The following is a 14,659-nucleotide window of genomic DNA, read 5'->3' on the forward strand; positions in this document are numbered from 1 at the left end:
ACACATATACACTTTAACTTAAATATAAACACACCTATAGCTAAATATAGAGCTCACAATCAATAATAAAGTAACTGTCCTTTGTTTTTATTTTATGGAAGACATAGGCTCTGTGTTCAACCTCAAGAATCTCTGCTTTTTAAATTTTAGAAGAAATTTTAAAATATCAGTCATTGATCTCCTTTCTTTCTTCTTTCTCTCTGCATCCTTCCTTCCTTCCTTTTTTCTTTTCGTTTTCCTTTTCCTTCCTTCATTTTACGATATAGATCATTGCTTTAAAAATATAAAAGATCAATCAATTTCGATAAGACAATTGCACTCATCTATACATATTTAAGTGGATATATTGTCTACTCTCAGTCTTCTTTCAGGTATAATTCTTTCATTTTTGATTTCTTTCATTTATTTTATTTACTCTGTTACACTGTTCAAGAAATGTTCCTGTGTTTTATTTTTTTAACTTTTGAAATGGAAACTTCCAACCATACAGAAAAGTAGAGAGGATAGTATGATGAACTCCCAGGTACTCATCACCCAACATCATCAATTATCACTGTATTTTTCTGAATCATTTTAAAGCAAATCTCTACATATTATTGTACCCAGAATTACTTCAGTATGTGTTGGTAATAGAGATTATTTTTACCATAATTACCATATCATATTATACCTAATAAAAGAAGCAATACTACTTTTATATCACTTAATATTTAAATTCCATAAAGTACATATTTAAATTCTCCAATTCTCTCAAAATATCTCTTTTACAATTGGTTTGTTTGAATCAGCATCCATACAAATTTGACACAATGCATTGGGTTATAATTCTAATTCTCTCTTTCTCTCTCTTTTTTCTTTTAATGATGCCCTTGTTTCCTTTTGTGAAGCCATTGATATTTTGCAGATACAAAGTTATTTATAGCATGGAAAATTCTACATTCCATAATTGGTTCATTGTATGATCATAGTATTGTTAACTCGTTCCTCTGTCTCTGTTTATATAACAAATTACCACAAACTCAACAGCTCAAAACAACACACATTTATTATCTCACTCTTTCTGTGGATCAGAAGTCCAGGCATGACCTAGAGAGATCAACTCAGGGTTTCACAAAGCTGCCATTAATGTGTTGGCCAGGTCTGGGTTCTTACCTGAGGCTCAGCTAGGGAAGCATCTGCTTCTCCACTTGTATGGTTGTTGATAGCATTCAATCCCTTGCAGCTGAAGGATGCATAGCAGTTTGCTCTGTTGAGAAGTATAAGAATGAGAGATTTTGGTTGCAGGCAATAGAGGCCAACTCCCAATAATTTAAACAAAAGAGCAATTTATTGGCAGGATTTCAATGGTTAATAGTACTGACAGGAATCCTGCAATGAAGATTAGGTCAGAAACAAGGTAGAAACCAGGGCTACTCTCTAGCTACGTGCACCAGGAATTGGTAACAGTCACATCACGGTGCTGGTGCTGGAAGGAAGCAACTCCAGCTATGACTTTTCATCTCAGATTATTCTGCTCAAGATTCAAACCCCCACATCAGAGCCTTAGCCTGGCTTGGAAAGGTCAGGCAGGGCACAGTGATTCACATCCTCACCAATCTGGCACACCACAGGGAAAAGAAGGTTTCCTAAAAGGTAAAAGGAGTGCAATTACTGAAATGAAAATGAGGGGAAACAGAGTTGCAAAAAACAGCAAAAGTCCGCTACAAACCTTTAACTGGCTATCTTAACTGTAATTGGAAGGAGCCATGCTGTGTGGCCTTGCTGAGTTGTCAGGGGGAAGTGCAGAGAATCAGTGCTTCCCTCTGGCATCCTTTGCTCCTATCTGTCTCTGCCAGCAAGTACCATTTTTTAAAAGCTTGGATTGCTTTATCAATAACCAATGCTACCAGTTAACATCCTGCACTCTGTTTCATCTGAGTGCACTTTCTAGTGTCCTTTCTGTATTTGGGGTTGTTACATATTCCAGATGGACTCTTTTTTTTTTTTTACTAATTTTTAAAAACTATCATATAATAATTATGTATATGTATGAAGTACAATGTAATGTTTTGATCTATGTACACACTATAGAAAAGATTCAATCAGGCTAATTAATATATTCATCCACCCCACCAGCTTATTGTTTTGGTGGTGAGGATGTTAAACGGTTATGATATATCTTTACATATCCATGTTTGTCATGTATGATCTACTGTCTGTGATGGCCAATGAGATCCTCAGATCATTTGATGAGATATCCAGAAAGGGTGCTCACAACTCCCCTTCTCCTCCTCCAGGACAAACGTCACCTCCTCAGAAAGTCCTCCTGTGCCACAGTATCTAAGTAGATCACTGTATCTATCACCCCACACTGCTTAGTTTCTTTGTAGCTTTTATCACAAGCTGACAAAATTTTGTTTATTTATGTAAGTGCTTATTTTCTGGCTCCCTCCATGAGCGTAGCCACACGCTCCTTTTTCTTACCTTCTATCCCTGGCATTTAACCCAGGGCCCTGCACATTGGAGATGATCCTGTGACTTGAATGAATGAATGAATGAATGCGTGAGTGAGTGAGTGAGGTAGGAACAAATACGCAGTTTTTTATCACATTTCACCCTTTCTCTTAGTAAGACAGTTTTAGTTTTAAGTCTCTGGTCTAACACAAAGAAAAGCAACACACTCTACAATTGAATTTGGAAAGCCAGTTTTAGTTTTTAGGCAAATCATTGGTTTTGTTCAAAGAATTAATACATAAAACATAATACACAATATATAAAAACATAATGCATAACTCTTGATTTCCTGGTATAAAATGCAGGATTGAAAACATTTGCATGTACTTGCTGAGGTCATGCTGCCCTTCTATGTTTTATAAACTGCTATTCATCCCTTTATACCTCCTGTTTTTTCTTTCTAAATGCTGCAATAATTTGAGTTGTTCACTATATAATCATAGTCAATAAAATAATTTTGACAGATTTTCTAACTGCACTCTGCACTGATTAAAATAAAAATAAAATGCTCTAACATCTTGGAAGGCTGAAATGTATTATATATTATTCATTACTTAAAGGCAATAATGATTGTGACTTTAGTCCCACCAAATTACTGTCTGATATGGTTTGGCTGTGTCCCCACCCAAATCTTGTCTTGAATTGTAGCTCCCATAATTCCCATGTGTTATGGGAGGGACCTGGTGGGAGATAATTGAATCATGGGGGCAGTTTCCCCCATACTGTTCTCGTGGTAGTGAGTGAGTCTCACAAGACCTGATGATGTTTGTAAGGGGTTTCCCTTTTCACTTGGCTCTCATTCTCTTTGTGCCTGCTGCCATATAAGACGTGCCTTTGTTCTTCCCTTGCCTTCTGCCATGATTGTGAGGCCTCCCCAGCCACGTGTGAGTCCATTAAAATTCTTTTTCTTTATAAATTACCCAGTCTTGGTTATGTCTTTATCAGCAGTGTGGAAACAGACTAATACACCATCTCAGCATACTTCCATAGATAAGGTGAAAATTGCTCACTGAAATTTAAATGGTGCTGCTCGACCTTTCAGGAGACAACGTAATGCATGTGGCTGATTCCCAGCTACCCACTTTACTGGCATCCCTTACATTCAACATGTAGACGCTGGGATGACAATGGAGCAACACAAATCTGTTTATGTGACAGGTAACTTCAGCTATGGTTATATACTCTCATGTTAAAGAATCCAAAGATGTAAAAATACAAAATTGTAGAATAAATCATACATTCATTTTACAAAGGATAACTTCTATTGAAAACGGATTTACCGCAAGAACTTCCACCTTCTCAACAACATACTACCTAAAATATGTTTAGGTAATATGTTACTAACTTGCTGGGGGGGAAACTTATAAATGAGAAGGAAAAATGCATCTACTAAATTATTAAGAAACAATGAATGTCACAAGTTAAAGTGTATTCATTCTAGTCAAGTAACATTATTTGAATATGAACTAGGTGCCAGGCACTATTAGAGTAAAAAATCACATGAGGGGATCAGTCATGGGCTGTATATATCAGAGGCACTTATGAGAAATCTATGAGAAGAATTTAGTAATATCATATGCAAAAGTAGGTAATAAGTTAATAGGAAAGTTTGTTTTGTTGGGCCATACCACATAGAGTCCATCTAAAGCCCAACTCAGAATTGCTACAGAAGACTAAAAGAGGCTGCTCAAACAGAAATAGACTGAACTCTAACAGATGCCCCATTTTGTTGCAAAAAAGTTTGGATTTATGGATGTTTCAAACCCATGTGTCTTACGTTCTTCTTTCTCCTTTAGCATATGATAAGAGGTTAGAATGTTCATCTATTACTGAGCCCAGATATGTAAGTTGATGGCATTTTGTTATATGCTTTGTGTGCGTATAAGATATGTGCATAGAGGCTCTAGGAGAGGATGTAAGTTGAACTAAGCTGTATTGTGGGTGTGAGTGCAGGTGTGCACATGGATGCACACACTTGCTAAATAGCTTAGGATATTCATGTTCATCCAGAAATGATTCAAGACCTCCAGCATAAGTACCAGATGTCATAGGGTTCTCAGGGCGACAAGAAGCAGAATAGATTGTTGAATGAGGTTGTTCAATTAAGGAATTTGTTTTGTTTTACTTTGGTCTATTTCATTTTGCTTTTTTTTCATTCCTCTTGAGCCTCTTTTGATAAAGGCTCCCACTGCTAACTGTGGGTAGTGAGTTCTTATGGCTATAGGAGATACCTTGATAAGGAAGGGATTAGAAAAGATGTTTCAAATTAGAGACAAGTTTAATCAGTATAAATCTTTTAAGTATTTACTCCTTACAATTAAGCTTGAAACATCCCACCACCTCTTTAGTGCTGCTGGGTTATAATTATGATAATTATGATGGAAAGACAGAGGATATCAAGGTTATTTTTGAATGGGGGTTTTGGGGAATGCTTCTTGGAGGATTTTCCTGACAGAGACCTCTCACTGCATTAGAGCTGAAATGTTATGTGCAATTTGATTCAAAAACTCATTTGATGTTAGAACTGGAAAGAAAATTATAGGCAGAATAGTATAACCCCTATAATTTTTAATAATGAAACAGAGCTATAGGAGGGAATAATGGCTTATCCATGGTTACAAGTAGTTACCAGTGGAGTTCTGATATTCTCTGCTATCATGGACTTCACAGCTATGTGGAATTAAAGTGAAAACACAGGTCATGGAAGGAAGAGTCTGGCATCACTGGTGGCTTCCTCATTTTGTGTGGAGGGCTTTACCTAGGGTAGTTCCAGTGCAGTTCATTTCTGCTGGTGCATATTCAGAAGAGAGGCTTCTGAATATTTCTCAAGAGCTACTTATGTCAGGATCCTATTTTTACCAGACTTACTTCTGTAACAAACGTTGCTTTGAAATTATAACAGATATTTTTGCAGTAATTCATCCTGTGTTCTTTTCATCAGCAAAAATTCTTGAATTGTAAATTTTAGAATAATTAAGATATACCCTGAGAAGGAAGATTTATGTTTTTGTCTGGCTGCTGAATTAATGCTTTCCATGAGAGAAAAGCTTTAAGTACTTACAGTGCTTAGCAGGGCTATTCTATTCTTTCCCTCTTTTTGTTTTTTCATTCATTAATTTACTTTATTTTTTAAATGCACATGTGCAAAGCACTATGGTGGGTAAAGCATAACAATGTTTAAATATTTATGTCAGAAAGTGCCTAGAAAGTTTTCAAAACATGATAAATATTCAATAAATGCATGTTTACATCTCAAATTTTCCCTAACATATAACATTTGCTTATAGCACAATTTTTATTGCCTCCCTTTTATTTTGTTTTTCCCTGAAATTTACTCCTGAAATCTTCAAAATTATTTTATGGGTTCTTATATAAGATTTTATATATATATGTACATATATGTATATGTAGTCAGAATACATAATTACATAAATTATTACAATTTTAATACAGTCTAATGTCTGCCAAACTATACATGTTATTATTATTTCTACCTTAAATGAGAGACGGATCAATAATTGAATTCATCAATTTTTTTCTTTTGTTTTGTTTTTTTACAAAACTGTGGCATAGCAATTTAAAGAAAAATAATCGCCGTGAAAATGAGAAATTAGATAAACCTAAGATTTGGAGGAGATTAAGTTTTCATGTGCCAATTCTATGCTAAAGTTTTTGGGAATCTGGATGAATGAATAAATTCCTGGGAGAATAGAAATGACTAGAATTGACTCAAGAAGGAGCAGGAAGCTTCTATCAATCAATAAGCTAGTAATACAATTTTAAAAGTTGCTCACGGACTATTTCCAAAGAGATGCCAGACTTAGACCATTTTTCAGATGAACTTTCACATTTTTAAGGGATGTATTATCTCCATGATACTTAACCGCCCAGAACACAGGAAAATATAGTTTTATTTTGCATCTGTAGCGTAACTCCCATCCCAAAACCTGAGAAATACAACCCAGGCAAAGATCCATCTCGCTTATGAATATATATGCCACATTTTGGAATAAAATACTAGTACATTAAATTCAGCTGTATACAAAAAGGAAAAAAAATCAGTGACTAATTCAGGGTTTGTTAAGTAATGCAAGCATGATTAAAACTTTAGAAAATCCATTATCCTAGATATCCCATCAGTGGATCAAAGGTGACAGCCTGAATTATCAATCAACTTAGTAGATACTAAAAAAAAAAAAGACTAGGTAAAATTCATTATTCATTCCAAAAATTTTTAAAAACTCTTAATAAAATAGGAATCTAAGAATATTGTCTTAACATATGAAAGAATGTCTCTTTTCAAGCCAAATCACGAAAAGCATACTCCCATCATTTCTCCCAAGTCCAAAGTGAACAGTAATAATCCAGCTCAGTATGCCATTTCACAGAGGTCACATGAGGTTTCCATTTTATGTCAAATTGGAAGGCTACTGAGAATGGTAAGAAGAGAAAACTCACAGGAAAAATAGCAAATGTGCCAACCAGTGTCTTTGGTCTTCCCTGATAAAAGTCTCTCTGTTGGGTCCCTTGATCATGTGTCAATCATAGAATTGTTTTGGGAAGGGAACAGAATTATGGGAGAGAGCAGGCAAAGTCCTGCTCATGTAATCTTTGTAAAGGTTACTTTCACTCTTCAAGACAACTTCAGTGGGGACTTTACCTAGGTAGAAATAAGAGAAAGAGTGAGCTCACATTTTCACAACGCATACTATGGGCAGGGTGTCTTCTCAAGGCTTTATGTTTGCTAGCTCCTGGAATTCTCAGAACAACTCTTATAAGATAGACATTACGATTGTCCTTATTTTACATATGAGAAGATAGGTTATTTAGGAAAGTTAATCACTTTGCCTGGGACCTCAGAAATGTCAAGTGGGAGAACGGGGGCTTGATTGTAGGTGGTAACCACACCTTGGGAGTCGGGTGAAAGCACACTTTATTCTCTGAAGGCAGAAAAGGAGGCTGTTCAACCCTTTAATGCCATGGGGTAAAATGCCTTTTACTAGACATTGAGAAAGTAGGAGTATGGCCATTCCAGTTGTGTTATCCTGAACACTCCCATTTTCCGATCCTCCCTTTTTCTCCTTTGAAAATTTTAATAATAGGATGAGATGACATTTCATAGCATTATGGCCTTTAAGTTATAATTTTGTTATCTGACAGATGCCCAGAAACATTAGGTAAGGCCACACCTCAGATAGATGACAGTTTATCCTACAAACGTAGATAAACAAATACACACCTGGACCTCCAACAAATACAGGGCTTCCCAAGCCAGATCTAGTGATGTAATATTTAACAAATATTTGTATTTAATACAAATAGAATTTGGTAAATGTCAGAATTACTAGGTGTATTATTCTTTCTCTTCTTCAGAAACAGCTCTTATTTAAGAGGCTGCAAAAATATTTATATCCTTCCCTCAGAAATATGTCATCTGCATTCATCTGCATTCATGTACATATGCATTCATTTTTCATAGAACCACAGACTCACCCAAACAGTTTAAGCTAAAAACTTCTGCTTTGTGTGTTTTTGAGAAGTTATGTATTTTATTTCTGGGATGATATAATTTTGGATTTTAATTCCTTTCCTCTTTACCAAATGTTCACATTCACCCTTATACCCACATGTGTTTCTATGTGCAATAAGTATAACAACACATATACTGAAAAATGTTGCTTTGTTAGGTTGTTATCCAAAATAAAATAATATTAAAAAGGAAAACCTATGGCAATGCTTATTCTCAACCCTACTAAAATAGTGACTTGTTTTAGGATGATGATTTTTACTAATACTTATGTTCGTCTTCTCCCTACATTTAACATGTCAGTGTTTCTATTTCTGATATAACCATTGCATTATTATTTCTCATCACAATATTAATACTTTGCCATGAATCAAGTTTTGACACATATATTTCATCCCTATGCTTTTAATTTATTCAAAAATTCTATAAATGTTTCATAAATGTTAGTCCTATATATTAGTACTGTCTGTAACAAAATATAATGTAACATTTGTCGATCAAAATACAAAGAACAACAGAGCTGAAAAGTATAAAACAACAACAAAGAGTTGAGTTTATTGCTTGCCTGGTATATTAGTTTTGTAGGGCTCCTAAACAAAGTACCATAGACTGGGTGGCTGAAACACCAGAATTTTATTTTCTCACATTCAGGAGGCTGGGAGTCCAAGATTCAGGTAGGATCAGTTTCTTCTCGTGTCTCTCTTCTTAGCTTGTAGATAGCTATCTTATCCGTGTATCTTCACATGGTCTTCCCTCTGTGCCTCATTCTCACTTAGTTGTCTCTTTAAAGATCCTCTCTCCAAATACAGTCACATTCTGGGATATGGGGGGTTAGGATTTCAACACATGGTTTTATCTGGGGGTAGGGGAGAGTACAATTCAGCCTGTAACACCTGGAAATGGAGAGAGTGTTCACTCTAGAGTAAGGTCAGTGAGTCACTCTGATTAAAAGTGGAAGGGCTAGACACAGGGTAAACAAAGGAAGTTTCCCTCCAATAAGGCAGCATTCTGAAGGGCATTATTCAATTGGTCAAGGAGAGGACCCTGGGTCTCCTTTGGGATGGGCTTGCAATTGATCTGGTTCACGCCACAAAATCACAGGCACAGGTCGGGTTAGGCTTCTAGGGTGTAGTGTCTTGACTCAGGCACTTTCATATGCACATGTTTGAGACTTGGCAATTTTTTATCTCTTACATGTTAATGTAATTTTTGCAATTTCCTAATTGTAATTTCCTAAGGAACTTTTGCAGTTTCCTAATACTTGCCAAAACAAACTATCAAGACAACTTTGGCAAAAAGTAAACAGTCCTTCTGTTTTTCCCCACAGCTGAACAAGGACTGGGAAATAAATTTGAAGTATCCAGCTCAGACTCCCATAGCATAGTGCTCTGATTAATTCATTTCCTTTTGTTGGTATTGCGTAGTTCCAGAACTAAAGCTCATAGCACACAGCAGTCTTTTTAATTTACACTGACAAAACCTTTGAAGTGGACACTCTGATAGGAAATTTAAGTGGAAAAAAAAGAGAGAGAGAGGGACACAGAGGGAGATGTTTTATTCTCATTGACTTTGTCAGAATTTTGTTTTCAAGAACTTTAATTGTAATTGAAGGCTTGAAATGTCACTGGGGATTCATTTTGCAAGATGGAGAACAGGGAAAAAAAGCAAAGAACCTATTTTTCAGTATGTTGATTGAGCATAAGGAATTTTATCTTCAGCCTTGACCCTCCTTCTTTGTTCTTTCCTCATTTCCTAAACTCTGGGGTCAATGTTGCAACGGGGAAGAATAGGGTCTCTGTTGTACTGTTTTTGCAGAATCTTTGAGCCAAAAGTGTAAGTACTTTTTAGGAAAATTTAGGTGGTAAATAAGATGCATCCTTACAATAGGAAAAGATTGAGATTCCTCACATCTCTATCCCCAGCTGCCTACCTAGCATCAGTCTTATGCATAGTAAGTGATGAGCAAATATTTGTAGATTGATAGAATTCTAGACTTTGCTAACACTTGTCCAGTGGTCTCTTCTCTTGGGTCTCAATGAAACTTGCAACTCAAGGGGAAAGAGGAGATGCAGAAATAAACGTGCATGGTATTCTGAGCAAATACAGATTTATCCTGCAGTGGATGGCCATTTCTGCTAATTAGCCCATCAGTTAACAAGGAAAACTAGAGGAAGAGTCCTATAATTATTGATGTTTTAAATTTAAGTTCTTTATTTTTTCATAAACATTTTTGGATCAAATAAGCCAGTATAGTCACCAGCTACACTTTCCCATTTGGAAATGTTTAGCATACATGTGACTTAAAAGCTCAAACTTCTGAATCAAATTATCTGTGTTTTCATTTCTGTACAAATACTTGAAATGTCCTGAGTAGAAATGTTTGAAAGGTCTTGAAGACTCCAGCCAGGGTCAATCTAGTTCAGAATTTCGATGCAGACAACTTGCTTGATAAAGGAATCAGGTGCTTTACAACTGAGCTATGGGCCCCCAGGACAAAGGTTAGCAAGTGGGAGTCAAGACCAATTTTCTTAGCTTTTCAGAGCCTTGATGCTGGTAAAGGAATTCCTGGGGCAGGCAATAGCAGGAATAAGATCAAATGAAAATGCACTCATACCTGAATCAGATTTTATTTGAGCCCCCACATGATTATCTCTGGAATCACCCTTGTTGTTATGGATACATTTTCTTCTTTGTTTGGCATGTTTTAGCCTTCTGCCCTCCACTGTAGAGTCCTCCAAATCTGGTTACCATGACAACACATAAATATAAATAAATAAATATTTTTATATATGTATGTATGTATATGGGTATATATATAAATTTTATTTTGGCTTGGAATGAGGGCGGAGGGGGAATCCAGCCTGCTGCAGCCAACCTCTGTCTCCAGCCAATACTGGCACATGGGAAAGGCCATCGTGTGGGCAAACACATGCCAATCAGAATAGCTATTTCTAACACTCCAACAGTACCCTTTAAACATTTCATTGGAAAAGTAGCTTCAATAGAATTGAAAGTCAGTATGTTAGTAATTCACCATTTGCTCCTAATTTGGGGGCAACATGGTCTTTAAATATTCACATATATAAATATTTATTTTAAATATTTAAAGGATTCCTTTCTGTTTCAGATGGGTCTTGGTATGGCTTCTTTTCAGGTTAACCTGTTAATGTTGGTGACTGCCTATGTATGTCTACACTTCTATGAGTCTTAATTAGAAAAAGGAAAAAGTAGTTCTGATTCATCTAAAAGAAGTGTTCCGCCATTGCCCTTGCAGTAGTCAGAGACAAACACTCTGAATTAGCAAAGCCATAGACTTAGAAGTCTAACTGGGTCCTTCTAATTCTAGATGATGTATTTATTTACAGGTATTCAAGGGACATAAAGTAAGATAGTTACTCAAGATACATATATATATATATATATATGTGTGTGTGTATATATATATATATATATATGTATATATATATATATATATATATATATATACACACACACACATTAGCCTGGGATTTAAGTGAGGAGGAGGCGTGATCCTGTTGAGGGTTGTCTGCTCACCTAGGATTCAGGGTGATAGATGGAAGCATAAAGTTGTCCAAAGGATATTTTAAAAGAAAACAAAACAAAATATGCCCCATAGGTGAACCAAACTTAATGTGGTTTAGAGGAATAGGAACTGTGTCTGTTCCCTCTTCCCATGGTGGGGGTCAGGGGTTGGGGGGTCTGGGGCATACAATACAACGCAAGTAGTCCATCCGTGGATACTCCTTAACACTAAGTGTCAACTTGATGTTTAATCCTAAGTGTCAACTTGATTGGATTGAAGGATGCAAAGTATTGTTCCTGGGTGTGCCTGTGAGGGTGTTGCCAAAGGAGACTAACATTTGAGTCAGTGGACTAGGAGAGGCAGACCCACACTTGGTCTGCGTGGGTACCATCTAATCAGCTGCCAGCACAGCTATGATAAAACCAGGCAAAGGAATGTGGAAGGACTAGACTAACTGAGTCTTGTGGCCTGCATCTTTCTCCTGTGCTGGATTCTTCCTGCCCTTGAACATCAGACTCCAAGTTCTTCAGCTTTTGGACTCTTGTACCTACACCAGTGGTTTGCCAGGGACTCTTGGGTCTTTGGTCACAGCCTGAAGGCTGCACTATCGGCTTCCTTACTTTTGAGGTTTCTGGGGCTCAGACTGGCTTCCCAGCAACTCAGCTTGCAGATAGCCTATTGTGGGACTTCACCTTGTGACCGTGTGGTCAATTCTCCTAATAAACTCCCCCCACAATATATTCATTTATCCTATGAATTCTGTCCCTTTAGAGAACCCTAATACAATTCTCAAGAGCAGAGCTAAATATTTGATTATTTTTCTGTGTTTTGCTGTTGGTTTAAGGTTTGCTGTGATGCCACTCTGCAACTGATTTATTTCAAGAAGTTCCAATTTATACCTATGGTTCTGAGCATTCAATGTTCATGCTTTGTACTCACCTTAAGCAACTCACAGAAGCATATTAGTGGGAAACATTTAATCTTTTTATCTTTATAAGATGTGTTTTTCTCTTCCCCTTAAACATGGAGAATTTTAAAGGTGATGCTTCTAAAATACTGAGCTATCCACATTTGCTCTTCTCCAAGGTAGGAATGACTTATCTGATGCATGAAGTTAATGAGACTTTGACATCCATTTGGCCAGGCTTACCTGAGGGCTGGTTCATGATATAAAAAAGATAACATAGAGCTCTCTTTTTTTTGGCCCTCTCCATTCTGCTGGGTCCTGATATTTTAGCACAGACTGTGATCCTCAGCACACCTAACTGAATAAGTGGACTCTGCGTCTGTTTATACTCAAGCTTTTCTTCATGTTTGCACAAAGTTCTGTGTCTGGTCTAAACTTAGGAGAAGAATGTAGGAAATATCCTTCATGTTCCTGGGTGTTCTCCATTTGAATATTACCCAAGAAACCATATGTTTAGGAGCTACTGGGTCTTCATGAATGATGATGCTTTTATCTGCATTTGGGTGTTCTGCTGTATTGATGATTTTACAATGGATAGAATCTGGCTAGAAGGAGACCTAAACCCTCCATTAGAACATAAAGACTCCTAGGAGTCCTCAGAAATAGTGCCTTACTCCCCAAACAGCAAAATGCTTTTAAATATATCATCAGCAGAATGGGAGTGCTATGATTTGAATGATGGTATCCCCTCCAAAATGCACATTGAAACTGAATCTCAATGCAACAGTATTAAGAGGTGGCCTCAGGTGGTGATTAAGTCATGAGGGCTTCACCCCATTACAAAAGGGGTTGAGTTTAAAGGAAACTCTTTGGCCATTCTGCCCTCTCTGCCACGTGACGACACAGTGTTGGTCCTCTCTGGAGGATCAGCAACAAAGCACCATGTTGGAAACAGAGGGCAGCCCTAATCAGACACCCGTCCTACTGGCACCCTGATCTTGGAATTCTCAGACTCCAGAGCCATTAAGAATAAATTTTTATTCTTATAAATTACTTAGTCTGTGGTGTTTTTTCTTAGAAGCACAAATGGATGAAGACAGAGAGGTTTGGCTGTAATTTCCTGCTCACCAAAATTGCAGGAGAAGAATGGTTGTTCAAATCTAGAAAAAAGACTTTTGAGAATAAAGTGTGTGGACCCCTCATTAAATGTGCAACTTTCTGAGAACTAGTCATATGTTTTATTAATAGAATTGGACAGAGATTTGGGAGTCTCTATTTATTATTTATAAGTTATATTAAAACACACCTGTATTGTCAAGGCTTTATGTGCCTGGTGGCAAAAAGCAATGGAATGGGAATGATTATTAGAAAAACCAGTGATTTCTTTAGAAATATCAGCCCTAAAATGAAAGAAAATGACTCCTAATATATACCCATTTAAAATGTTCTGTAATGCAGGAATTTTATCTGTTTTACTTCCAAGGATGACTGGGTCTTGTGATTGAGAGCAGAAGAAAACCTAGGGAGGAAACCAATGCTCTAGAAAGGAACTTTTTTCTTATGCCTTCCAGAAGCAACGATAACATGAACAATTGTACATCAGTCATCAGGTGTTACAAAAATTACACAGAGGCACCCCCTGCTGGAGGGAGGTGCTACTCAGCCAGGGACACTGCGGGAAGACAGAACTGTCTCTTGTATTTCTCTTACTCTTGATGGACAGAGGGAAAGCAGCACAGAAGAAAATGACTCTAAGGGAAGAAACAATCAGAAAGAGATAACACCAGAAATCTCAAATATTTGAGCTGAGAGAAATGCTCTCTTAAGATGCCTGGGAACCTTCCATGTTGAGACACTGCCAAGTTACTGAACGAGCATTGTGCAATCTTAGATGAAACATTTCCCTTTGCCAAGCTATTCTGCCCCGGTGAGGAATATAATGATGATGGTTGAGGGCTCAGGCTACACAAAGTGTGATGCTCCCAGGAAGGAGTCAGGGCACTTTGCCCAGGGGTAAATGCCCTAGAAGGAGCATGAGAGATGCCATGGTCCAAACCCGTTTTTCTGAGAAGACAGCACTGTGATTTGAAGAGAATAAATGATGGCACAAAGGAAAAAAAAGTGGTGGGACCAAAGGTAGAATACAGAGGTGCACATAGGGACTGCAATCTAAGTGTGGTTTTAGATC

General features: G+C 37.0%; 1 long non-coding RNA gene across 2 annotated transcripts in view; it reads right to left on the minus strand.

Annotated features, from left to right (window-relative positions):
* Positions 1-14,659, minus strand: part of NPSR1-AS1 (NPSR1 antisense RNA 1) — a 487,820-nt gene that overhangs the window by 69,915 nt on the left and 403,246 nt on the right. For both annotated transcript variants that reach the window (NR_033665.1, NR_033664.1), the window contains one exon: positions 1,153-1,246. This is a non-coding gene — a long non-coding RNA (NPSR1 antisense RNA 1). The remainder of the gene's footprint in view (positions 1-1,152; positions 1,247-14,659) is intronic.

The sequence above is a fragment of the Homo sapiens genome, chromosome 7 (genome assembly GCF_000001405.40).
Source record: "Homo sapiens chromosome 7, GRCh38.p14 Primary Assembly".
In the NCBI taxonomy this organism is placed as follows: domain Eukaryota; kingdom Metazoa; phylum Chordata; class Mammalia; order Primates; family Hominidae; genus Homo; species Homo sapiens.